We start from the raw sequence: 27,575 nt of genomic DNA, 5'->3' as shown, positions 1-27,575 counted from the left end.
ATAGCTTGAGGGCCAGAAATCTTGTTTGGTTTTTGTTTGTTTGTTTGTTTGTTTGTTTTTGAGCCGGAGTCTTGCTCTGTCGCCCAGGCAGGAGTGCAGCGTCGCGATCTCGGCTCACTGCAAGCTTCGCCTCCCAGGTTCACACCAGAAATCTTTAAGAGGCAATGAACTGGTGTGCCTAGACCCTGCACGAAGCCATCTCCTCTTTGGGGTATTGCTACCTCCTGCTTTGGGGTATTGCTACCTACTGCCCAGAAAGAAGGGAACCTGGCTCTTGAACCCCTCATTCTGTCTGTTCTCATCATTATCTGCTCTTCACTCTCCATGCCTCAGACCTCAGAGAATCCTATTCTAGGTGGTGGGTGGAGGAAGTCAATGCTCTTTGACCTCTGTTTCTCCCACACATTTGATCTTGACATCATCCCCAAAATTCTAAGTTCCCTCTTTTAAAACACAGAGACAAAAAGTGCCAATTGGCTATTTATATCTTCTGACTAATTGCCTCCCCTCCCTGAGGCAATGAGTGCAGGATTGCCTATATACTTGGAAAAGGGGAAAGACCAGAAGAAAAATGGACTCAAATAACTCTCCCTCCACACCCACATTAAATTCTTTATTCTTGTAGCAACAAAATTAGAAAATTAGCTAGGAGCTTGGCTATTTGCTTTAAAAGCATCCTTCCAAATCTGAGATTCTGTAGTTTTATCAATGTTAGGCTAAACCAGTTGGTTTGTGCTGCTAGCAAGGATGGAAAAAACCATGGGGCAGCTTTCGAGGCAGATGACAGCAGCTAATCAGACACTGAGAGCAAGGGCCCTGGACTTCTAGTCCTTTAGTTCTGGAGTGTTCAGAAAGATTCTTAAGAAATAATAGTGACCAAAACGGAACACTTCTCTGATGCCTAACTTTGTACTTTGCCTCTGACCATTAAATGGAGGTTTTCACTTCTCTGTGTGGCCAGACCTGGCTCTTCTTCAACTCCAGTTTCTCTTCTGATTGTGGCTCGACAGCATGTCTCAGTCCTTGGTGACTTTCAGTCTCCTGCATTGGGGTCAGGACTGTGATGCATCCTGGTGGCCTCTGAAATTTTATAGAACATTATTATCAATGAACATTGGTCAATATTAATTGCGTAGAGCTCTGTGCTAAGGTTTTGCATATTGTAAAACTAAAGGGGCTTACAGTCATGTTGGAGAGATGGGGTGTGTGCATCGTCCAGTGCAGCATGTCTCAAGCACCCTCTATGCGATGGTCCCAGGAGTCTGGGGAAGGAGAGTAGCACGAAGCAGAACTATCAACTGCTGAGCCAAAAAGGCATGCACTGTGACACTTGAATTGCAGCTGCTTTAGAACCGTACCTAAAAATAGCTCCAGCTCAATCTGCAGAAATTCTGACCTTAATGGATATGCTCGAGTTCAAGAAAGATGATTTATTCTTAGATCTTTATAACCAACTGCGAAGGAAGTCTCAATCTCAGCAACATCAGTGATTACTCCTAATAATATCTATCTCCCAGACACATGCTTTGAAGATGAAATGAGACGATACAGGCAAAACAACACTGATTGCAATTCAGATATTTACTGGTATGGCTCATTATTCTTATATATTCAAGAGGTACAGTGGGTGCTTTTACATTTTAATAAGGAATACTAGATACCGAGTGAGGCCCTCCCCTCACATCCACCAAATTGATCACTGCAGTGTTTGCATCAAAATAGCAGTATCAGTATCAAAATAATCAGATTTTGAATGCCTCAGAATACCCAAAGCATCCACTTCTAAATTGCTATTTAAGATGAATGCTCTACCTTTTATATTGCATTTTTGAAACTGAGTCAATCAGAAAAGTACTTTGATGTTGTAAATACCTACACATCAGCTCATCTGCTTTTAAATTAATCAAAATATTTAGGCATCTTCACAGAAATTTCTCATATTCATAAAACAAGGCAATAGTTATTTACTTCCTGGCATGGTAATATGTTTTGGGCAATCTCTGTTTGACTTGCATAAAAGGAATAAAAGCTAGTTTCATGAAACTCCATTGTCAGAATAATGAATGTTTTAAAAATACACTATTCAAAGCCTGCTCAACTCTCTTCCTCAGGCTATGGAGAATGTTTCTCCAGTGAGTCTTAGAAGGAAGGAAACCCTTCCTTCACCCCACTTCCTGTGCCTCCTTTAGAGCTGGGCTTGTAGCCAGAGTGAACAGAGAATGGCAAAACTGTTAAAAGGTTAACCGTCAACATGGCGTTCTCAGCATCTCTCAAAGGCACTTAGGAAACTAGTTGCAAGGAGATGAGTAGCAGCCAGAGAGCACCCCAGAGAGTACACTTGTGCTTATTATTCCACATGATTACATATTCAAATTGGTTTTAATTCCTGGGCAGCCATGGGGATGTTGGGGGAGGTGGGAAATAGCTTGCTGGAAAGGGGCAAGAACGGCGGAAGGAGCAGGTCTGGCATTAAAAATGTGCTGCAGATACTTCTCTAAGGCAAATGAGCCTCACGATTACGAATTTAGGCAACAAGGAAAGAGCTGTGGATCTAAAAAACGAGGTTGAATTTCCACGTGACATATGATAATCCCTTTCAATACATTAAGAATTCTACTTTGCATCAGCGTTACAGACTTCTTTTTCTTGAATCCTTCATAAAGGGCTTTAAAAAATTCTACTGTGGCCAGGTAAGTTAACCCATACCCATGCTGCCTTATAGATTCAAAAACCCCAGGGATTATAAGTAAATGTCTGTGACATTTTAGTCAGCTGGAGTTGGTGTTAGGAAACTTTTGAGGGTTCGTGGCTACAGATATAACCTTTGGCTGTCTTCACCAACTGTGGTTTTGAGAGGATTCACAGTGGTTACGTTTGAAGGTGTGGGCAGAGGTAGGGGAATTTGAAAAACATATGCAATTGTTTATTAGCTTTGTATGTTTGTAACCTTTCAATGGCACTTTCAAATAAAAAATACTCAGCATTTGAAAAGCCATGTTTTATTGCTAGAAATAGAATAAATGGAATATAAACATAGATAGCAGTGAGTATAATCTATTTAACACACATTATAGGATTTAAAAATCCTAATCAAGTTTGCCATTTCATCCAGGAATCTGTAATAGAACCTAATTGAGATGTGTTGAGACTTGGGAGGATTAATCACAGGAGGATGGAACTGAATTAGGAGGAGGTGAGACTCGGAGAATGAAATGCAGCAGGGATTTCGAGGAGAGGGATTGGACTCAACACAGCATTATCTAGAAGGTTAACAACAGACTATGGCTGATAGACCATGTAATAGCAGGAGAACCCAACATAAGGGTGTGGGCAATGAGAGTTTTGACCAAGAAGAATTTCAGAGCAAGTGATATTCAAAGGTCTAAGTAGCTCTGTCCAATAGAAATATGTAGTTTAAAATTTTCTAGTAGCTATATTTTAAAAAGTAAAAAGAAACATATACAATAAATTCTAATAATATATTTCATTAAACTCACTATATCCAAAATATTATAACTTGTGGCACAGTGCCCAGTGGCCACAGGTGGCTATCATATTGAAAAGCACAGAAATCAATCAGTTCTTTGGCACCAGGTAAGTCTATCAGGTCAGAGGAAGACCAACATCATGACTGGATGGAAATGGGCATATTAAATGGACGTGTTAACTGGTAATTTGCAGAAGAGAAAGTATAAATGGTTAGACAGTTTATAAAATAATTTCCACCTCACTTGTAATAAAAGCTATAAAAATTAAAATATCAGCAAGATATTATTTCTCAACTGTCAAAATAGCCAAGGTTAAAAAAATGGAGTTGTTTGAAGGTATGCTAAAACTCACATGATGCTGTTAGCAGTATAAATTGGTATAACTATTGGAAAATAGTTTTATATTTCATATCAAGAGCTTGGAATTGTTTTTCTTACTTTTGGAACTCTATAACAAAAAACAATAGCAATCATTACTGAATGCTTATTACATGAAAGATGATATGTTTAGCGTTTAATTATTTTAAGTCTTTTAACCATCACAACAGCTCTGGGAAGTAGATGTTATTATCCAGTTTTAACCCTATGAAAATAAATCAAAGTATGGAAAAATTATGGATTAATATGTTATTAATAGCATTGTTATAAGAAGCAAAAAATAGAGGCAAAAAAACAGATTTAGTAAAAACCCTAATATTTCAGAATCAGGAAATAGTTAACTAAATGAAATTTTTCAATGGAATCAATGTATTTGTAAGAGTGCTTTTTAAAGAATATGAAATGACATGGGAAAATACATATCTTAGTCTGCTATTGCCACAATAAAGCCGCATAACAAACATTAAATCTGTCTGGCCGAAAACAACAAACATTTACTTATTTTGCTTATGTTTGCGGGTTAGCTGGAATGAGACTCTGCTTTTGGCTTCAGGTAAACCGGCCTTGGCTGCAGGTTGCAGGTCTGGGCTCAGGTATGTTGCTCTGTATTCATTTTGGAGCCCAGGTTGAAGGGGTATCTGCTACCAGGGGGAAGCTCTTCTCATGGGAGTCTCCTAGGGGGCAAGAGGATGAGTGCAACCACACAGCACATCCGCTTGCTTCATGTCTACCAACTTCTGATTGGCCAAAGCAAGTCACATGGCCCAGCCTAAAGTGAGGGATGGGGAAGTATCCTCTGCTTGCCTTGAGAAGATGGCAAGAATGAGTTATGTCTAATTCTCTTTTGAGGGAAAAAAAGAACAGGCACAAATAATTCAATTAACCCCAGTCTGCTTTCCATTGCCTTTCTTCACATCCCTCCCACAGGTGCTTGCGTCCATCTCAAGATCCTTCCAAATCTCATCCCCTGCTGGTGTCTTCTAGTAGGAGAAGAGTGAGATGCACATAGCGGTCATGGTTTATAGCCATTGTGAAATCCTCGTTGATCAATGTTGCCAGGTTCCCCTACCTTGGGAGAAGGGAATATTCTTACTGGCTTAGACCCCATTACTGCTCCCTGGGCATAGCTCCCCAAACCTCAGTTCATTATTTCTCTATGGTTTTTGGCTCCACTCTTTGGGAAGTCCCTTGCCAAAATCCCCCTTGGTCACTTCTAAAGTGGGCATTGGAGAATATGCCGTATTTGGTGTCTGAGTCACCCTCTCAGCCTGCACCCTCCCTGTGGAAGGTTGGGGTAGGAGGAGACTAGAGGCAGTTTTATATCTCAAAAAGTCACAATCGCTTTTAGTTCATGTTAACAGAAATTTTCTCAATATAGGTTTATTTTTTTATTCCCTATAAATGCAGGATTTCTGGGCCATGTTTATGTACTCTCAATTCTGTTGCAAGGTAGCCATGCTTTCCTTGGAACCTGTATTAGTCAGGGTTCTCTAGAGGGACAGAACTAATAGGATAGATGTGTATATGAAAGGACTTTTATAAAGAAGTATTGACTCACACAAACACAAGATGAAGTCCCACAATAGGCCATCTGCAAGCTGAGGAGCAAGGAAGCCAGTCTGAGTCCTAAAACCTCAGAAGTAGGGAAGCCAAGAGTGCAGCCTTCAGTCTGTTGCTGAAGGCTCCAGGACCCCTGGCAAATCACTGGTGTAAATCTAAGAGTCCAAAAGCTGAATAACTTGGAGTCTGATAGTTGAGGGCAGGAAGAAAGGAAGCAAAGATAGTTGAGGATGAAAGAAGCAAGGAAGAAAGATGAAGGCCGGAAGACTCAATGAGTCAAGTCCTTCCAACTTCTTCTGCCTGCTTTATTCTAGCCATGTTGGCAGCTGATTAGATGGTGCCCACCTGGATTGAGAGTGGGTCTGCCTCTCCCAGTCCACTAACTCAAATGTTAATCTCCTTTGGCAACACCCTGACAGACACACTCGGGAACGATACTTTGCATCCTTCAATCCAATCAAGTTGACATTCAGTATTAACAATCACAAGTCCACCCTTTGTCAACTTGAACCCGTACGCATCTCCTGAAATCATACATAATCTTCAAATAAAGACAATCAATAAAAGGTCATAATTATGCCTAACATAATACAACTATTCTTTGTACAAATGGAAGTGCACTAATCCTTAACCTAAGTGCTATTACATAAAGTTAACAACACTTAAATGCTGATATAAAGTCAATAAATCTTATGTCATATGATAAAGGAAAAAGAAAAGAAATAAAATGAAGATATTTCCTTAGTATAAGTGTACACATGCACAAACATGTTCTTAACAAAATAAGGGGAAATACTCATGACAATTACAGTTCTCGTTTCTGCAGCTGGTCATGTGGTTGTAGCTGGTATTGGTGACTACCTTCTACTAACCATTCTGTATTCCCTTTGCCTTCAGCAAGCACCTCAGTGGGTGGTGAATTTTTACCTGGTGGAGTGACCCAGACCTTCATTCCTGAAGGGTCTGGGTCATCTGTAGTCCTGCCTGGATTGGGTTGTTTTAGTTTCCCATTGACCTTAATCACAGGGTATGATATAAGAGACGCCCTAAGAGATCTCCTGTGTAGACTGATTTCATCTTGACAGACCAGATCAATCACCCCAGCCAACAATGTAACTCCTTACTTAGCCTGTTGACTTAGAGGTAGGAGGAGCCCAAAGTGTCCAGGTGGCAATCGTAACTTCCAGTTTAATGGGATCATTGTTGAGTCTCCTGGTGGCAGCATTCCTCCCTCTGGAACTAAGACCTCTAGACCAGCAGAACGTAATGTCACAGGAACAGGAAGCAAAAATTTTGCTGGGGGGTCACTAGGGATGATGGTGAGCGGTGCCACTTCCATTTCCATCCCTTGATTCCTGGACCCATGAATACTGGCTCTGAGGGAAACAGTACCATATATTGGATGCTGATTCAAAGCATACACAACCTTCTGGAGAACTTTGCCCCAGCCCTGCAAAGTGCTATCACCTAGTTGGTGGTGTCATTTTGACTTCAAAAGGCCATTCCACCGTCCTATCAATCCGGCTGCTTCAGGATGATGGGGAACATGGTAAGACCAGTGAATTCCATGAGCATGAGCCCATTGCTGCACTTCTTTGGTTGTAAAGTGAGTGCCTTGGTCAGAGGCAATGCTGTGTGGAATACCATGACAGTGGATAAGGCATTCCATGAGTCCACAGATGGTAGTCTTGACAGAAGCATTGTGTGCAGGATAGGCACACCCATATCTGGAGTAAGTATCTGTTCTGGTGAGAACAAACCATTGCTCTTTCCATGATGCAAGAGCTCCAATATAATCAGCCTGTCACCAAGTAGCTGGCTGATTGAGGAATGGTGCCATATCAAGAGCTCAGTGTTGGTCTCTGCTGCTGGCAAATTGGGCACTCAGCAGTGGCTGTAGCCAGGTCAGCCTTGGCGAGTGAAAGTTCATGTTGCTGAGCCCATGCATAACCTCTGTCCCTGCCACCATGGCCACTTTGTTCATGGGCCCATTCGGTGATGAGAGGGGTGGCTGGGGAAAGAGGCTGAGTGTTATCCACAGAATGAGTCATCCTATCCACTTGATTACTGAGGTCACCCTTTAGTGAACCTTCACATGAGATACAAATAGCTTCACAGTTTTTTACCACTCAGAGAAGTCCATCCATATACCTCTTCCCCAAATTTCCTTGTCACCAATTTTCCAATCATGCTTCTTCCAAGTCCCTGACCATCCAGCCAAACCATTGGCTACAGCCCATAAATCAGTATGTAATCGCACATCTGGCCATTTTTTCTTCCAAGCAAAGTGCACGGCCAGATGCACTGCTTGAAGTTCTGCTCACTGGGAAGATTTCCCTTCACCGCTGTCCTTCAGGGATGTCCTAGAAAGGGGCTGTAGTGGTGCAGCTGTCCACTTTCAGGTGGTGCCTGCATATCATGCAGAACCATCTGTGAACCAGGCCCTAGTCTTCTCTTCCTCTGTCAACTCATCATAGGGAACTCCTCATGAGGTCATTGGTGCAGGCTGAGGGAGAGAAGGCAGGGTGACAGAAGTGGAGATCATGGGCATTTGAGCCACTTTCTCATGTAACTTACTTGTGCCCTCAGGAACAGCCTGAGCTCCATCACATACATACCACTTCCATTTAATGATGGAATGCTGCTCTGCATGACCCACTTTATGGCTAGATGGGTCAGAAAGCAACCAGTTCATGATAGGCAGTTCAGGTTGCATGGTGACTTGATGACCCGTAGTCAAACATTCAGTTTCCACCAAAGCCTGGTAACAGGCCAAGAGCTGTCTCTCAAAAGAAGAGTAGTTATCTGTGGAAGATGGCAGGGCCTTGCTCCAAAATCCTAGAGGCCTCTGCTCTGATTCACCTATGGGGGCCTGCCAACGGCTCCAAACAGCATCCCTATCTGCCACTGACACCTCAAGCACCATTGAATCTGCTGGGTCATATGGCCCCAGCACTTACACAGCAGCCTGGACCTGCAGCAGAGCCTTCTCCTGTTCTGGACTCCATTCAAAATCAGCAGGCTTTTGGGTCACTTGATAAATGGGCCAGAGTAACACACCCAGATGAAGAATATTTTGCCTCCAGAATCCAAATAGGCCCACTAGGTGTTGTGCCTCTTTCTTGGTTGTAGGAGGGGCCAAATGAAGCAACTTATCTTTCACCTTAGAAGGATATAAAGATATATAAAGATATAGGCCACACACCACTGGAGCCCTAGAAATTTTACTGAGGTAAAAGGTCTCTGAATTTTAGTTGGATTTATTTCCCATCACGTGGCATGCAAATGTCTCACCAATAAGTCCAATGTGTTTGCTACGTCTCGCTCACTGGATCCAGTCAGCCTAATGTCATCAATATAATGGGCCAGTGTGATATTCTGTGAAAGGAAAAAGTGATCAAGATCTCTGTGAACAAGATTATGACACAAAGCTGGAGAGTTGATATACCCCTGAGGTAAGATAGTGAAAGTGTATTGCTGGTCTTGCCAGATGAAGGCAAATTGCTTCTGGTGGGCCTTATGGACAGGAATGGAGAAAAAGGCAATTGCCAAATCAATGATTGCATACCAGGTACCAGGAGATGTGTTAATTCATTCAAGCAATGAAACCACATCTGTTACAGCAGCTGCAATTGGAGTCACTACTAGGTTAAACTTATAATAATCCACTGCCATTCTCCAAGATCCATCTGTCTTCTGCACAGGCCAAATGGGAGAGTTGAATGGGAATGTGGTGGGAATCGGAATCACCTCCCCTGCATCTTTCAAGTCCTTGATGCTGGTGTTAATCTCTGCAATCCCTCCAGGGATGCGATATTGGATTTGGTTTACTGTTTTTCTAGGTAGAGGCAGTTCTAATGGCTTCCATTTGGTCTTTCCCACTGTAATGGCCCTCTCCCTACCTGTCAGGGAGCCAATGTGGGGGTTCTGCCAGTGGCTAAGTATGTCTATGCCAATTATGCATTCTGGCACTGGGAAAACAACAGGATGAGCCCAGGGACCCACTAGACCCATTGTAAGTTGGACCTGAGCTAAAACACCATTAATTACCTGACCTCCATGAGCCCATACTTTAACTGGGGGACAACAATAACATTTTGGGTCAGTTAGAATCAACATCAGCTCAGAGTCAGTGTCTAGTAGTCCCCCAAAAGTCTGATCATTCCCCTTTCCCCAGTACACAATTACTCTGGTAAAAGGCTGGAGGTCTCCTTGGGGAAAGATGGGAGAAAGATTAGCAGCATAAATTGTTGGTAGTGTAGTGGGGTCCTTTCTCAAGGGAACCTGGCCTCCCCTTCATTCAAGGGGTTCTGGGTCTGTAAACTGGCTCAAGTCTGGAAACTGACTGAAGGGCCATGATTCTCTATTTTTATAATTGAAATTAGTCTTGTCCACTTGATGTGGAAGTTTTCTGCTTATACAAATCAAGTAAGAATGCAGTAGGCTTCCTATCAATTTCACTTCTAGAAGCACTGTGATTAATTAGCTAATGCCAGAGCTCTACTGGAGTCAGACTATTCTGATTGCTGCTTTGCCCCTGCTGTCCATTACAGTAACTATGCCCACCTTGCTTTTGACGGTTGAGGGCTGCCACTTGGCCACTGCCACCTTGAGATCCAATTACTCTCATTGCATTTAAATTTTCTAATTAAGTGACTGTGGTTCTCACTGTAAGATCTGGCATACGGAGAAGAGCAATCACAAAGCTCTTCAAGGATATAGGTTCTCCCCTCATAGATCTATTTTGGAAAGTATTGGTGAAGGGTATGTCTTCTGGACCCTCCCAGCTGGAATGAGTAGGTCTAAAGTGACTAATCCACTCTAGTATTCCAATCTCCCTAAGCCTTTTGATCCCTTCCACTACATTAAACCAGGGGAGATCAAGCATTTCCAGCTCACTCACAGTGGGCCATCTGTTAATCTATATTTCAGCTAACCAAGCAAATAAACTATTAGAACCTTTTTAAACTCCCTAAGCTGCAACATTAAATGCAGGATCCCTTCTTAGTGGGCCCATATCAATAAATTCAGCCTGATCCAACTCTATGTTCCTTCCACCATTATCCCATACCCTTAATGTTCATTCCCTTGCCTATTCTCCAGATTTCTGCTTATATAAATTAAAAGACTCAAGCAGTTCTTTTGGAGTGTAGTGCACCTCCCCATAGGTCACACTCTGAACCTCGCCTCTAGGGGTCTGCGGGGACTTGAGTCTACTTATTGGTCTAGAAGCAAACAGGGGTGTTGGGGGTGGGTCCTGAGGAGAATCAGCATTGTCTTGCCTGGTAACTGCCTCAGAGGAGGCCATCACTGTTGGCTCAGTCAGTGCAGGGTTTAACTCCTCAGATAAAGGTGGAAAGGTTGATGGCCATGTTGGTGGGGGAGGGGATGTTGCCACCACTGAGGGTGGGGAGGCTGTTTCCTCTGGCAAAAAAAACTCATCAGAGTTTACAAGCTCAGTGTAGTGAGGGTCCTCTTACACATCTCCATTCCAAGTTGCAGAGTCCTATTCTTTTCCAGTCAATGCTCTCACTTTAACAGTAGACATCTGATGAGGCTGAGCATGCACCTTTCCTTGCAGGTTAGCCATTCTCATTATAAGAGCTTGTGTCTGATTTTCTGCAATTTCAGTCCTTTGTCTATAGGAGATAAGAGTCTCACTTGGGGCAAACTTAGAAGACTTGAGGCTCAGTATGTGCTTCTAGAGCTGGAAGTTAGAATCCCTGAGCTCATCCTTTCCTTTCATCACTTTGTCCAGTGAACTTAAGAGCAACCAACCAACTTCATTATATTTCTTGATTCTCCACATATGGTCAAAGGTATTATGTATAGAGTCACTAAACTCCTTGCCTCTCATGAGCGATTAATCAGGAGTATCAAATGCATTTAGTTTGCATAACTCTCTAAACAGTTCACTCCAAGGACCATCGGTGTTCTCCAGACTGTTAGAAGTAGAGTCCTTAACATTTTTGAGTCTCATCATATTAAGTAGCCAACTCCAGAAACCCCAAAACCAACTAAAGAAATCCATCCTTAAAATTCTCTTCCTCTAGAACTGCTCCTGGTACCAAAACCTGGATTAATCAGGGTCTTCTAGAGGGACAGAACTAATAGGATAAATGTATACATGAAGGGGAGTTTATTAAGGAGTATTGACTCACACAATCACAAGGTGAAGTCCAACAATAGGCCAACTGCAAGCTGAGGAGCAAGGAAGCCAGTCTGAGTCCCAAAACCTCAAAAGTAGGAAAGCTGACAGTGCAGCCTTCAGTATGTGGCCAATGGCTTGAGAGCCCCTGATAAACCACTGGTGCAAACCTGAGAGTCTAAAAGCTGAATAACTTTGAGTCTGATAGTTGAGGGCAGGAAGTCTCCAGCATGGAAGAAAGATGAAGACCAGAAGACTCAGTGAATCTCGTCTTTCCAACTTCTTCTGCCTGCTTTATTCTAGCCATGTTGGCAGCTGATTAGATGGTGACCACCCAGATTGAGAGTGGGTCTGCCTCTCCCAGTCCACTGACTCAAATGTTAATCTCCTTTGGCAACAACCTCACAGACACACCCAGGAACAATACTTTGCATCCTTGAATCCAATCAAGTTGATACTCAATATTAACCATTACAGAACCCATCTCTTATCATAACTTTTCAAATGCAATTCAACAACCCGCTTACCCTATCAGCATTGCGAATTGAAACTTGCTTGGTCATCATCCCAACTTTATCAGGTCCATTGTCTGTCTTTTGGTTTATTGAAAGTAACAGTTAAAACAAATGCTTTACTTTCACTACTATATAACATGGACCACCATTTTTTCCAGGCTTTTAGAACAATATTCTTCTTGTCTAATTTCCAGTCCTAAAGCTGATGGCACATATTTTGGGATTTGTTATGGCAGGACCCCACTTCCAACATATTCAGCTATTGCCACCATAATGCTCTATAACAAACAACCACAAAATCTCAGAGGCAGGCAGCAGTAAGCATTAGTTTCTGGCTTATGTGGACTGGCCGGGGTTTGCCTCCGCTGCTGGCTGGGAGTCAGCTGGGCTTAGCTCCTGACCTTGAGTTGGGTCCAGGCCTGCTCCCTGTGTGGTTGTTCTGCAACCCTGGCTGCATGAGCTTTTCTCATTGCAGACAATCACATTGCAAGAGAACAAGCCCAACCACATCAGCACATTCCAAGCCCTTGTTTGCATCATGCTGTGGTAATCATGTCTTTATACTCTGTTTTTGTTGATGCTTTGACATCTTGGGGCCTTGCTGACCCTGGAGTGACTACTTCTCCCAGGGTTAGCTAATTCCTAGAGATAGCAAACTACTGGCCTAAGAGTGCACCTTTCATACACAAACCAACTACTCCAGAGCTCATACCCCCCAACACCTCCATTAATGAACTCTTACATTCTGGGCCGATACTCCAGGACCAAATACCAGACAACTGTACCATAGAGTCCACTGAAATTATTCAAAGTGGCCAATCCTAAACCTGCTTACCCTGCCTTGCCCATTATTTTTCCCGCAGAAATGACAATAAAATCTTCTCCCTGCTTCCTCTGCCCTTGACTGACCCTGGTGCTTCCCCATGTGGCCCTGCATTATGGTGTGGCATGCCCTTTTGTCTTGGGGTCTGTTGAGTGTAACAAACTATGTTTACAGTGGTAGCTGTCTCCTGATCTGTTGGCTTTGCCATATCTTAAATAATAAAACCTACATTAAAAAATATTTGTCCACTAATAACCCTTTGGCCAATGTAAATCACTTGATTAATCCCAAAGTCAAGGTGTTGGGAATAACTCTCTGCTCACCAGCCTGGCGAAAGTAAAGACATATTTCTATTAGAAGGGAGAAAAATTGGGATGCTCTTCCCCAGAGTGGCAAGAGTGTGGATATATAATTCTATTAGAGAGGAGTGAAGAATTGAGACCAATAATTCAATCTGTCACCACTTTATATGTATATATGTGCATACATGATGTTTGATTAAAAAATTGAGATATGCAATATGATGTCAAATATGTAAAACAGAATCTCTGTAGAGAAAGAAGTCTTGAAGGAAAGACATTGGAATGTTAATAAGGCATATCTTTGGGTGCTGAGACTGTGGATGATTAAAATTACTCTTTCTTCTATTTTATGAATTGTCTTTCATGAGACTATATTTATTTTATAATTTACAAATATACTGTATTAACTAGAAGCTGAGTCTTCTAAGTATTAAACTAAAATTCCTTGAATATTTTCTGTTTGGGATCAGTAATGGTCCTAAAAGCAGAGCAAGGAGGATTTGCCTAATTCCACCTGGGAGATCAGAAAAGTCTTTTTTTTTTTTTTTTTTTGAGACAGAGTCTCGCTCTGTCACCCAGGCTGGAGTGCAGTGGCACTATCTCGGCTCACTGCAAGCTCCACCTCCTGGGTTCATGCCATTCTCCTGCCTCAGCCTCCCGTGTAGCTGGGACTACAGGGAGAACAGAAAGGTTTCTATGGCAGGGAATAGAGGGTATGACAGGGGTTGTCCTCTTTTGTTCTTTGCTATTTAAAGTTTGGTCCACAGATCACCAGCATTGGTGTCACCTGGGAGCGTGTTAGAAATGCACACTCTCAGTTCTCATGCCAGAGCTACGGAATCAGAATCTGCATTTTAAGAGGATTCTCCAGGTGGTTTGCATGCACATTAAAATTTGAGATGCACTGAATCTATTCCATACCGTTTATTTTAGCATCATTTAAAGTAAATGCATTTTTGCTTCATGATTCAAAATGGCTGGTAGAAATTGTTGTTATAAAATGCAAAGATAGTGAAATAGGCTAACAGATGGGCTGGCTTAATGACCAAATACTAACAATTCTCATACAAAAAAAATGAATTATTCAGTCTATAATATTTATTGATTGACAGTCTGATGTGGGCCCCTGTTACAGGTTGAATAGCATTTCTCTAAAAATTGTAACACAGAACTATAATTCTGGGAGGTATTAGTAAGACATTAATGGGCCCCACTGTATTAGTTTCTTATGGCTGCTGTCATAAATTACAACAAACTTGGTGGCTTAATACAACACGAATTTATTATCTTACAGTTCTGGAGGTAAAAATCTGAAAGAGGTCTCACTGGGTTAAAATAAAAGTATCAGCAGTGCTGCATTCCTTCTGGAGGCTGGAGCTTCCCATACTCCTCTGCCTCCTGACATCTTCAGAGCCAGCAATGACTGGTCAAGTGTTTCTCATGCTAAATCACTCTGACACTGTCTTCTGCCTTCCGGTTCTAGTTTTAAGGACCTTTGTGATTATATTGGATTCACACAGATAATCCAGGATAACCTCACTATTTTAAGATTGGCTGATTAACAACCTTTATTCCATTTGCTACTGTAATTCCCCTTTGCCTTGTAAAGTTCCATCCCCTTTGCCTTGTAAATTTCCAGGGATTAGGAAATGGACATCTCTGGGAGGCCATTATTCTGCCTACCACATCCATGAAACGCAGATTCTGTGGTCACATAAATCTGCAAGTAATATTTCTTTCTTGGAGCTTTGCAATGTACATCGGTATAGTCAAGGCTCCGAGAATTTTTGGAGTAAAGAAACCCCTTTAAGTTTGCTCAACCTAGGAACTCTTTGCTTGCACATTTCATGAAGCTGAACCAGAGAAATATGGGGAAATTCAGAGAAAATTAAAGAACTGTTTTCTGCCCTAAAGGAATTGAAGACAGCTTTTTATTTTCTCAATCATCGATTGCAAATTAATACTGAATTCATTAGCGCTGAGGGAATGCAGGGCAGAAGAGGGAGTGGGAACATCTGTAGAAATCAGAAGCCCTAATTACCAGGCTTCTGTTCCATACAAGGCAATGATGAGAACAGCGGTAGTTGTGGGAGTCTATGCTGATTTCCCTTTCACCATCGACATATTGTGGCATTATGAATAATTTAAAAAATCTGCCTGGGTCATTTTCTTAATCTCCGTGACTCCGTATCTCATATGTAAAGTTGGGTTAACATTCTCTCTTTCATCCAGTATGATTATGGGCTTTTAATTAATGTTAAAATGCTCTTTTTTTGCATTCACATGCAAAAGGAGTTATTAAATTTTGGTGCCAAATATTATGATGGTAATGAGAACTCGCTCACCAATATCTCATTACATGTGCAACTTTTTCCCTTAATTTACTGCATAAATCACCCATGGCTACACACAGTATTATCCCTATAGCCAGAACAGCTTCTTTCATCTTTTAGATATCTCATGTTGAAACCAAGAAATACAAGCTAGAAAAAGCTGAGTCTTATTTTAAAAGTTCCCAGAAGGCATTTGTTTTATGTGGTGAGCATAATGATTGCTTACAATAAAAAAGCCTTGAAAGGTCTCACTTGTTCTAAGATTATTCATGCAGCAATTATGCTATTGATGTCAATTTGTTTTTATGATAATATAAACTATTCTGAACCCACTCAACAGTGCATAGTATAATGCTTGCAATCTTCCCCATGACCTCTCTTGCTAAGATACCTATTCACTTCCTTGATTAGAGAAAACCAAGGAATATAGGCATTTTAAAAACAGATAAAAGTTTTGATCATTTGAAATCTAAAAATGAATCAGAACTTGTAATTTTAAAGTGAATAATCACAAAAGAGAGAAATAGCTGGGTACTCTGACTTATATTCTAGATGACGTTATGTATCACAGTACAAATATTGTCCAAGTGAGCTCCCCTAAATTGTGTGTGTGACATAAAGGGAGGGGAACTTGTATTTATTTTGTAGCTTGCCAAGAGCAAAAGGCTGTCTCAACTTAAATTTTGGACATCTTAAGTTTGTTCATCTTAAATTTGGCTTTGGATTGCTATAGGTTTTCGGGTAACTATTCATATTTCAAATGATGTTATTATTTTGCTTCCGAAGGTTCTTACGTGTTTCTGTAGAATAGGTAACATATTAACGTATTTCACTTTAAAAACAGTAATTGTGGTTACTTTGCCTGCGTGAGTCTATATGTAAACGTGTTTGAAATAGTTATTGAAAGAAGATGTGCTCCCTGATCTTAATGAGGTTAAATCTCACTCTTGTTTCACTGTTTCAAATTTTATTATGATCTTAAATTAAGGTTATATTCACATGGACAGAGCAAAAATTCACCACTGGCATATCTATTTGATGCTGTCAGCCATGTTCACAGCCAGTCTGCAAAATTCATTAGTTATTATGTAAAAGGTGCTTTTAATCCTCAGTAGCAGGATTCTTTCCTTATTTACTTTCCTTTTGCCTTGTAGATATAATTTGAGCAAATAATTTGAAGATGGGTAAATAGAAGTTTGACTGAAGCTGATGAAAGTAAGCACATTGATTAATATTCTTATCATTTTTATAAACTGCATTACAGAAATACATAATTTCTGTAAAATAAAATGTAAAAACAGGCATGGAAGTCAGGGCAAAGGCATATGACTAGAGAAAAGTAAAATGAAACCAAATGTGAGGTGACACCTGGAAGGCAGCCTGTTCCTTTAACACACACAAGCACTCATTCAGGCTAAACAGTGTACACACTCATTTCCAGGTGGGCCACACTATTTAGTTCTATATTTTTAGTAGCCCATGAAATGAGGGGAAAGTGGGTTGGGGGAAATGGGCTAAATGTATAGAGTTGAAATTAAGTATGCTTGTGTAATGGCTCTATTGTTCTCTAAAGTGAGCTGTTCAAAGAACAAAATTTTAAAATTCACTTACCTCTGTAAGTTTCAGAAAGGAGGGAAGTGGTGTAGCTGATCATCTGAAAATATCAGATGATATAGCATAGTCCTATTTTTAGCTCTGAAATGCAACCATGGGACTTTAAAACAACATCCAGTATCTTTTGTTAGAGATGCCACAACCAGTCACGACTGGCTGGCACTGCAGAAAACAGAAAGTTATGGCAAAGGGAATTACTGTTGAGAGCAAAGAACTGGGGGAAAGGCGTCATGCAGTCATTGATGGCTGGTGGGTTCGCTCCAGTGGTACAAGAGTTTTGTGTGTGCTTAAAAATCAGAAGCAGCCACATGTATTCAACCTGTGTTTTTCATCATCAATGACTATGGGTGAAAGTGCTCTTGATTTTGAATGCTCACATGTCTGGGTGCCTTTGGAAATGTGCAATCTTGTCTTGGCCCTTTTAGTGACTGGCTTTGTAGTCCTGAGATAATTGCTTCCTATTTCATCGTCTATTTCCTCTCAATACAACGTGAATTAGATGGCCTTCGAAGACCCTTCCAGGACCAAAACTTTAAGCAGGTCCCACAAACCTCACACATATAAACACGATTCTTTTTTTAAACACCTCTACAGTTGAATTCAAGTAGCCCCTATTTCAATAACAGTGAGAGAGAAAAAAAAATAAATCAAATCAAGTAAACAAACAATAAACAAATTAACCTTGTCACTTTGATTTTCTTCTGGTTTAGAATTTAGTCTTTCGGTGTAATTACCAAGAATTTAAATTTTGTTGATTCAAAATTCAGGTTGTCAGGGGTGTCCTTTTCTCTCAAGGGCTCCTGTAACTCCTTGCCCCTGCTCTCCTGGATGTTTCCCTCCTCCTTTTTGTCCTGCTTTACTGCTGATGAAACTGGAGCGTTCCCTGACCCCCCCTAGCAGGACATGCAACAGGGGTGTAGCTTGTCTGTTTGGCACTGTGCATACTCAAACTCCTTACAGGAGGGGGAGCATGCAGATGGGCAGGTGCAGGAGCCGGACCGAGCACCCCTGGGCCCAGGCCCCATGGCAGTGTCTGTGGGTGGGATCCTGCAACCCCCAAAGCCCAAGTGGGCCTGTGTTACAGTGTGCTCTTTTAGCCTTGCTGTCCACGGATGGCTTAAGTGTTAACCAGCTCAGTGCCCTCTTCGTACCTAGGTCTTTGTCTGGTGTCCAGGAAGAATTGGGTCATATATAAACCTGAAGGATGTGTGCAGGGGTTTTGTTGAGTGGTGGAGGTGGCTCTCAGTGGGGTGGATGGGGAGCTGGAAGGGGGATGAAGTAAGAAGATGATCTTCCCCTGGAGTTTGGGCAGCCGGTGTCCGTTCTCCTCTCCGACCATTCGCAGCTGATCTTCTCTTGGCATTCAGATACTCCTTTTTTTTTTCTTTCTGCCATGCTGTTCTTCCGTTCTGCTCTTCTGTTCATTGGCTTGTGGAGTCTGGAGTTTGGGGTTTATATATGTACAGGATAGGGGTGCATGGTGGGCCAAAAGGCAACTTTTGGGCACAAAAACAGGAATGCCTGTTTTCATCTAGTGCTGTGGGTTTCCAGGCTTGCTTGAAGGTGGGGTCTTTGCTGGGGAACCACCCTCTTTCGTGCAGTATTTCCCTGTCTCCTGTCTATACCACTTATTATGGCTTCTGAGTACAAGTGGAAGCTTATACAGTAGCTTGGCAGGAGTGGTGAGCTGTCCTGGATTAGCCTCTACTTGAGTATCTCATCCTGCTGGTCATTTTCTGCTTGTATTGCCGGTCCCTGCTCATCCTTCTGACTTGCACCAGCCTCTGCTGCTGGTGCCCTTAGGTGTAGCCATGCTGTCTGATCTTCAGGTCCTTGTACTCTGGGTCCTCCTCATTGTCTCCCCTTCTTGGTTTTCTGTCCCCCTGCAGCATGCAGGAACTGCTGGATAGGAGCTACTATGAAGCCAGGAACACTAAGGCTCTCTACTGAAGTATGCTATACTTTCATTTCTAGTTCCCTGAATCTATCCTATGATGGCTTATGGCACACACCAAGCTTGTTTTTAATGAATCTTTTTTTTTTAGCATAAAACATACTCTTCTGTCCTCAGTTCCTCAAACCTACCTAGGGGTTTACACTTTTCACTAAGGGTCTCAATCCTGGGGGGTTGGATACTCACCTATGTCTGTCTGTTTCCTGCCTCCCTCATGTCTGGGAGGAATGCTTTATCTGGTTTAGTGGGATATAATATCCATATCATATCACATAGCCTGTCTTTCAGTGTCTTACACTAAACATTCTATACTCAAACCCTCTATGGTTTAACTCTTTGAAATCTATGAAAGTATTTTGCTTCCTCTTAATGAAATTTGGCTGTTGCGAATGAGAAATGAAAGATCTGGCTTTCTTGTCTTTGAAATATGCATCATTTGCTAATTTAAGAAGTTAGAAGATTGGGCAGGGTGTGGTGGCTCATGCCTGTAGTCCCAGCACTTTGGGAGGCTGAGGTGGGAGGATCACTTGAGGTCAGGAGTTTGAGACCAGCCTGGACAACATGGTGAGACTCCATCTCTACAAAAATACAAAAATTAGCCAGGTGTGGTGGTGTGCACCTGTAGTCCCAGCTACTGGGGAGGCTGAGGCAGGAGAATCACTTGAACCAAGGAGGTGGAGGTTGCAGTGAGCAAAGATTGCACCACTGCACTCAAGCCTGGGCGATAGAGGGAGACACCATCTCAAAAAAACAGAAAAAAAAAAAAAAAAAAGAAGAAGAAGAAGCTGAATATTCACTATTTCTTCCCTGCTTCTAAGCCAGGGATTCTAAGACTTCTAGGAATAGAGAAACAATGAGTAGCAAGAATTAACAAAAATTACAAGGATATAGAAGAACTCAATGATATCATTAATCAACAGGATCTAACTTAACTTTCATAGAACACTCCACCCAACAACAGTGAATATACCTTCTATGCAAGGGCCCATAGGTCCCATAGAACATGTGCAAAGATAGATTATACTCTGTGTTATAGAACAAGCCTTGACAAATTTAAAATGATTGAAATCATACAAAGTGTGTTCTATGACCTCAACAGAATGAAAAATTAGTAGCAGAACAAAATAACAGGTGAGTCTTGAAATACTTGGAAGCTAGCACACTTCCACATAATTCAGGAGTGCTGTGGACTGAGTGTCTGTGAGCCTCCCCCTCAACTCCCGATTTGTATATTGAAGCCTAATCACCAATGTGATGATGTTTGGAGATGAGGCGTTTGGGAGGTAATTAGGTCATAAGGGTGGAGAAGAGACAGGAGAGAGCTTGTGCTTCCCTTTCTGCTCTCTGGCATGTGAAAATACAACAAGGAGGCTGCCATCTGCAAACCAGAAGGTGGCCCTCACCAGATGTGGGATCTGCCAGCACCTTGAACTTGGACTTCCTAGCTTCCAGAATTCTAAGAATTAAATGTTTGTTTTTAAAGTCACACAGTCTATAGTATAATTGTTATTGCAGCCCAAATTGACTAAGACAATGCGTCAAAGTGTTAAGATAAATATATTTTTAAAAATATATTGAACTTATAAATCAATGAAAATGATTGAGGTGAGTCTCAATCATTGTAGGAGGTTTATTTGCCAGAGTTAAGGATATATGCTCAGGATACAGGTCTGTGCCTTTCTCCAAAGGCTTTGATATTTAAAGGGGAAAGAGCAGATATTGGAGAAAGGGGTAGAAACTGTTTGAAAGGTGTGGATAGATAAAAGACAGACGGTTACATTTTTGAGTCTTTGATCAGCCTTTCATGGAATATACAATTTACATGTGACAGGGGAGTAGAGGAATAGTCACTTATGCCTTCATCTGGCTCAGAGAATCTGCAGTAGAGGATAGAGTAGGATAGGGTAGAAGAAGCAATCAGATACACATTTGTTTCAGGTGAGTAGAGGGATGACTTTTAGTTCTGTCCTTTGTCCTGCACCTGTGAAAATAAGCTATCAATTTACATGGCCAGGGTGAAATTCAGCAGAACTGTTTTAGGGTAAAGATCTTGGGGCCCACAGGGAATTTCCTTGTGGGCAATCGGTGAGGGAGGTATGTAACTTTTCATCTTTGTAGCTATCCTATTCAGGAACCAAATGGGGGGCAGATTTGCATAACCCAGTTCCCAGCTTGACTTTTCCCTTTGGCTTAGTGAGTTTGGGGTCCTGAGATTTATTTTCCTTTTACAAACTGAGTGAAAATAAAATACAACATTTCAAAATATGTGGGACACAGCTAAAACAATGAGTGGTAAATTTATAGCCATAATGAACTGCAATAATGACTGCTCTCATTCCAGACACAAGTCACCAGTCCATGCCTCCAGAACTTCTGACTTACCAGCTTCAAGTCGGGGTTCCCACAACCCCCACTTTGAGTTCGATTCATTTGTTGGAGTGGCTCACAGAACTCAGGGAAACACATTTGCTGGTTTACTATAAAGGATGCTACAAAAGATACAGATGAAGAGATGCATAGGGCAAGGCATATGAGAAGCAGCATGAAGCTTCCATGCTCTCCCTGGGCATACCACCCTTCAGAAACCTCCATGTATTAGACTATTCAGAGGCTCACTGAACCCTGCCTTCGTGGTGTTTTTATGGAGACTTCATTATGTAGGCATGATTGATTAAACCGTTGGCCAATGATGATCAACTTAACCTTCAACCCCTCTCCCCTTCCGAATGTTGGGGACTGGGGCTGAAAGTCCCAATCCTTTAATCATAGCTGTGTCTTTCTGACAACCAGCCCTATCCTGAAACTATCAATTAACATTAACATACAAAAAGACAGCACTTTGGAGGGTCCAAGGATTTTAGGAGTTGTATGCCATGAAAGGGCGATGAATACCTAATATGTATTACAGGGTAATATTAGCTTCATAAATTGAATTGGAAAGTTTTTCCTCCTCTTTTCTTGAAGAGATTGTATAGAATCAGCCTTAATTCTTCTTTAAACATTAGGTAGAATCATCCCATGGACCTGGAGATTTATGTTTTGGGGTATTTTATAATTATGAATGTAATTTCTTTAATATTGATAGGGCTATTCAAATTATTTATATTAGATTAGTTGTGTAGTTGTGCTATTAAAGAAATTGATCCATTCATCTGTTTCCAAATTTATATGTATAGAGTTATTTGTAATGTCTCCTACATTTAAAGAAGGATTAACACAAATTTTAAACAATCTCTTCTAGAATATGAAAGAGAAGAAAAAATTTCTCAATTAATTTGTGAAGCTAGTATGATCCTGACACCCAAACTAGACAAAGATAGTACAAAGAAAATTATGGACCTATATCCTTCATGAATATAGATGCAGAAATTCTCTGAAAACACTTAAAATATGATTCAGCTACATAAAAAAAGAATTATACATCATGAGCAAATGGAGTCTATTCCAGGAATGCAAAGCTGTTCAATATTTCAAAATCGGCCGGGCGCGGCGGCTCATGCCTGTAATCCCAGCACTCTGGGAGGCCAAGGCCGGTGGATCACGAGGTCAAGAGATCGAGACCATCCTGGCTAACACGGTGAAACCCCGTCTCTACTAAAAAATACAAAAAAGTAGCCGGGCGTAGTGGCAGGCGCCTGTAGTCCCAGCTACTCGGGAGGCTGAGGAAGGAGAATGGCATGAACCCGGTAAGTGGAGCTTGCAGTGAGCCGAAATCGCGCCACTGCACTCCAGCACTCCAGCCTGGACAACAGAGCGAGACTCTGTCTCAAAAAAAAAAAAAAAAATTTCAAAATCAATTAATACAAACATGTTAACAGGTTAAAGAAGAAAAACCACATGATCATATTAATTGATGCAGAAAAATCATGTGACAAAGTTTGAATTTAATCCATGATTTTAAAAACTCTTGGAAAAATAGAAGTGGAGGGGAAACTTCCTCAGTTTGATAAAGAATATCTACTTAAACCCAACAGCTAATGTTACATTTAATGCTAAAAAATTGAATGTTTTTGCCCTATGTCAGGAACAAGGCGAGGATGTTCTCTCTCCTCACATTTATTCAACATAGTAGTGGAATTTTAGATAGCGCAGTAAGGTATGAAAAGAAAATAAATCCCATACAGATTAGGATGGAAAAAGTAAAACTGCTCCTATTTGCAAATGACCTGAGAGTCTATGTAGAATATCCCAAAGGATCTACAAAAATATTACATTCCACTCCACACAGGACCCCCCCTGCTGTGTGGAGCCTCTGGACTTGGTGCCCTGCATCCCAGCTGCTTCAGCCATGGATGAAAGGGGCCAAGGTACAGCTCAGGCTGTTGTTTCAGAGGGTGCAAGCCCCAGGAGGCCTTGGCTACTTCCACATTGTGTTGGTCCTGTGGGTGTGCAGAAGACAAGAATTGACGTTTGGGAACCTCTGTCTAGATTTCAGAGGATGTATGGAAATGCCTGGATCTCCAGGCAGAAGTCTGCTGCAGAGGTGGAGACCTCATGGAGAACCTCTGCTAGGCAGTGTGGAAGAGAAATGTGAGGTTGGAGCTCCCACACAAAGTCCCCACTGCGCAGTGCCTAGTGGAGCTGTGAGAAGAGGGCCGCCATCATCCAGACCCAAGAATGGTATAATAGACCCACCGACAGTTTGCACCGTGTGCCAGGAAAAGTCGCAGACACTCAATACCAGCTGTGAAAGCAGCCAGGAGGGAAACTGTTCCTTGCAAAGCCATGGGGTAGAGCTGCCCAAGACCCATGAGAATGGACTGATAGAACTACAGAATTCTCAAAACTGAATTTAAAAAAACCAGCACCAAACCAACTGATTAGAAAATGAGTAAAAAACATGATGACATATTTCACTGAAAAACATATACAGATGGCAATTAAGCACATGAAAAGATGTTCAAGATCATTAGCAATCAGGGAAATGCAAATTAAAAACCACAATGAGATATCACTAGACGTCTACCAGAATGGTTAAAATAAAAAGTAATGACAACACCAAAAACTAGCAAGGATGCAGAGAAACTGGATCATTCATACATTGCTGGTGGGAATAAAAGTGGTACAGCCTCTCTAAAAAACAGTTTGGCAATTTCTGAAAATATTAAATATGCAACACTTACATGACCCAGCAATTACACTCTTGGACATTTATTGCAGAAAAATAAAAACTTACATTCACACGAAATATTGTACATGAATGTTTATAGCTCTTGGTTTGTAATGCACAAAACTAGAAACAATCTAGGTGTCCTTCAGTGATAATTAGTTAAACAACCTATGGTACATCCATACCCTAGACTATTACTCAGCAATAAAAGGGAATGGACTATTGATACATACAAAAACTTGGGTGAATCTCTAGAGAATTACGCTGAGTGAAAAAAACCAATAATGCAAGATTCCACTTATAGAATAATCTCAAAACAATAAATTACAGAAATGGAGAATAGATTAGTGGTTACCAGGGGTTAAGACCCAGATATGGGATGAGGGGAAGGGAAATGTGTGTTTCTATAAAAAAGCACCGTAAGAGATCCCTGTGTTGATGGAGATATCTCTGTTTTGACTGGATAATGTCAATATACTGGTTGTTCCATTGTACCATAGTTTTGCAAGATGCTACTACTGGAGGAATCTGGGGAAAGGGTACATGGGATCCCTGTATTATTTCTTACAACTGAATGTGAATCCACAATGATCTCAAATAAAACAGTTAATTAAAAAAGGTAAAAAGTTGTGAAAAAGCAATAATTATTCTGTATTCAACAGCCTGTTGTCCATACATAATTCTTAGTACTTAGAACAGTTTTGGTAAGTAGAAGGTATTTAATTTTGCTGAATGAATGAATAAGACATGAGTTTGAAATAAGGAATTATGAACTTCTGATATGTATTGAAGATTCAAGGCTACAGTAACCAAAACAGCATGGTACTGGTACCAAAACAGAGATATAGATCAATGGAACAGAACAGAGCCCTCAGAAATAACGCCGCATATCTACAACTATCTGATCTTTGACAAACCTGAGAAAAATAAGCAATGGGGAAAGGATTCCCTATTTAATAAATGGTGCTGGGAAAACTGGCTAGCCATATGTAGAAAGCTGAAACTGGATCCCTTCCTTACACCTCATACAAAAATTAATTCAAGATGGATTAAAGACTTAAACGTTAGACCTAAAACCATAAAAACCCTAGAAGAAAACCTAGGCATTACCATTCAGGACATAGGCATGGGCAAGGACTTCATGTCTAAAACACCAAAAGCGATGGCAACAAAAGACAAAATTGACAAATGGGATCTAATTAACTAAAGAGCTTCTGCACAGCAAAAGAAACTACCATCAGAGTGAACAGGCAACCTACAAAGTGGGAGAAAATTTTTGCAATCTACTCATCTGACAAAGGGCTAATATCCAGAATCTACAATGAACTCAAACAAATTTACAAGAAAAGAACAAACAATGCCATCAAAAAGTGGGCGAAGGACATGAACAGACACTTCTCAAAAGAAGACATTTATGCAGCCAAAAAACACATGAAAAAATGCTCACCATCACTGGCCATCAGAGAAATGCAAATCAAAACCACAATGAGATACCATCTCACACCAGTTAGAATGGCAATCATTAAAAAGTCAGGAAACAACAGGTGCTGGAGAGGATCTGGAGAAACAGAAACACTTTTACACTGTTGGTGGGACTGTAAACTAGTTCAACCATTGTGGAAGTCAGTGTGGCGATTCCTCAGGGATCTAGAACTAGAAATACCATTTGACCCAGCCATCCCATTACTGGGTATATACCCAAAGGACTATAAATCATGCGGCTATAAAGACACACGCACACATATGTTTATTGCAGCACTATTCACAATAGCAAAGACTTGGAACCAACCCAAATGTCCAACAATGATAGACTGGATTAAGAAAATGTGGCACATATACACCATGGAATACTATGCCATAAAAAATGATGAGTTCATGTCCTTTGTAGGGACATGGATGAAATTGGAAATCATCATTCTCAGTAAACTATCACAAGGACAAAAAACCAAACACCGCATGTTCTCACTCATAGATGGGAATTGAACAATGAGAACACATGGACACAGGAAGGGGAACATCACACTCTGGGGCCTGTTGTGGGGTGGGAGGAGGAGGGAGGGATAGCATTAGGAGATATACCTAATGCTAAATGACGAGTTAATGGGTGCAGCACACCAGCATGGCACATGTATGCATATGTAACTAACCTGCACATTGTGCACATGTACCCTAAAACTTAAAGTATAATAATAATAATAATAAAAGCAACTTCCAGGAGAGGTAGATACTCTTTCTCTTCCATGATCTGTAGGTGTTTTAAAGTCTCCTCCTCTCTCCCCCATAATATTGGTTTATTCTTCTAAGTTTGTGGACAGAGCTTTGAAGAACTGAAGAAAGCAGAGAATTCCTGAGAGTACAAACTGCTCACACAAGCCAGTCGGAACATTTTAATTGTTCTAAATAAATTTTATTCACTTTTGCTCTTCCTTACTCTTTGGGGATGCCAGTTTCATAAATTACTTCCTACTCTGCACGTACTTGAGATTAGGGTCTTAGTTGGCACAGGGTCCAAGCAGCCGCTTGACCCAATGGTAAGTGACTGGGATGATACCCTCCCCAGGCTCCTATTTTATGTAATCCAGCACTCAGTGAGTATTTTGGAAATGAATATTTTGGGGAGAGAGGGGAAGGGGGTTATCCTTCTGACCTACTTACTGATAGAATTATCCGTGAGGGTGCAGTCAGCTTATCACTCATCTGTAGTGGGGAAACAATCTCAGCTGCTTAGGAGGCAGACAGGCTGCAGAAAGAAAGCCAAGACTCTGAGAACCCACTCTGGTTCAGAAACAGAAGTGTTTGTTTCCATCCTTACAACTCTGAGGCCAGGAGAGTATATTTTGCAAGTCATGAAGGAGAGATGATTGGGTCAATGACCAATTACGTTTCTGAGGAAATTGCTACGAAACAATACTCCACAGTCACAGCCAGAGGAATGCGGAAGCCTGGAGTCTCATACAACTGATGGAGCAGTTCCCTCTAGTGGTCGGAGCCTGCGCTACCGAATGAAGCAAAAGCATGTCTTGTAATTCCACAAATTAAGGCTCAAGAAAATAGACCCTTTTCTTAGTTCAGGCCATAACTAGCAACCTCTGATGTTCATAGGTGAATTTTCAAGATTTGTAAAACAAGCCAACTTCCATGGGCTCCAAGACGGGACCTAGGTTATGATTGGTAGACAGCCACCCAGATGCAAAATTGTGAGGTACTCATTTGCCTTTGACATCTCAGCCTCACTTTCATTATTAAAAAAACTTCCCTGTGCCACAAAACTTCTCGATTCTCCTGAGTGCAGCCCATCCTATATATATTATGAATACAAACCTATTGCCTCCATCAAGATCTGTGATCTA

The 27,575-nt window shown here is 41.2% G+C and overlaps 1 long non-coding RNA gene across 1 annotated transcript, besides 1 other annotated feature; it reads right to left on the bottom strand.

The window, feature by feature from the left end:
- Nucleotides 1-592: 592 nt before the first annotated feature.
- Nucleotides 593-27,059, bottom strand: LOC105369484 (uncharacterized). Its single transcript, XR_948004.2, has 3 exons — nucleotides 26,881-27,059; nucleotides 1,183-1,262; nucleotides 593-1,080 (listed from the first exon to the last, which is right to left on the bottom strand). It is a non-coding gene; the product is annotated as an uncharacterized LOC105369484 (long non-coding RNA).
- Nucleotides 27,231-27,320: an enhancer, noted in NCBI's record as "active region_5494". NCBI's record gives its function as "activates an Ori minimal core promoter by ATAC-STARR-seq in GM12878 lymphoblastoid cells {active_cell/tissue: GM12878}" and the evidence as "EXISTENCE:reporter gene assay evidence [ECO:0000049][PMID:35858748]".

This window comes from Homo sapiens, chromosome 11 (genome assembly GCF_000001405.40).
Source record: "Homo sapiens chromosome 11, GRCh38.p14 Primary Assembly".
In the NCBI taxonomy this organism is placed as follows: Eukaryota; Metazoa; Chordata; class Mammalia; order Primates; family Hominidae; genus Homo; species Homo sapiens.
This window is presented reverse-complemented; position numbering and strand designations above follow the sequence as displayed.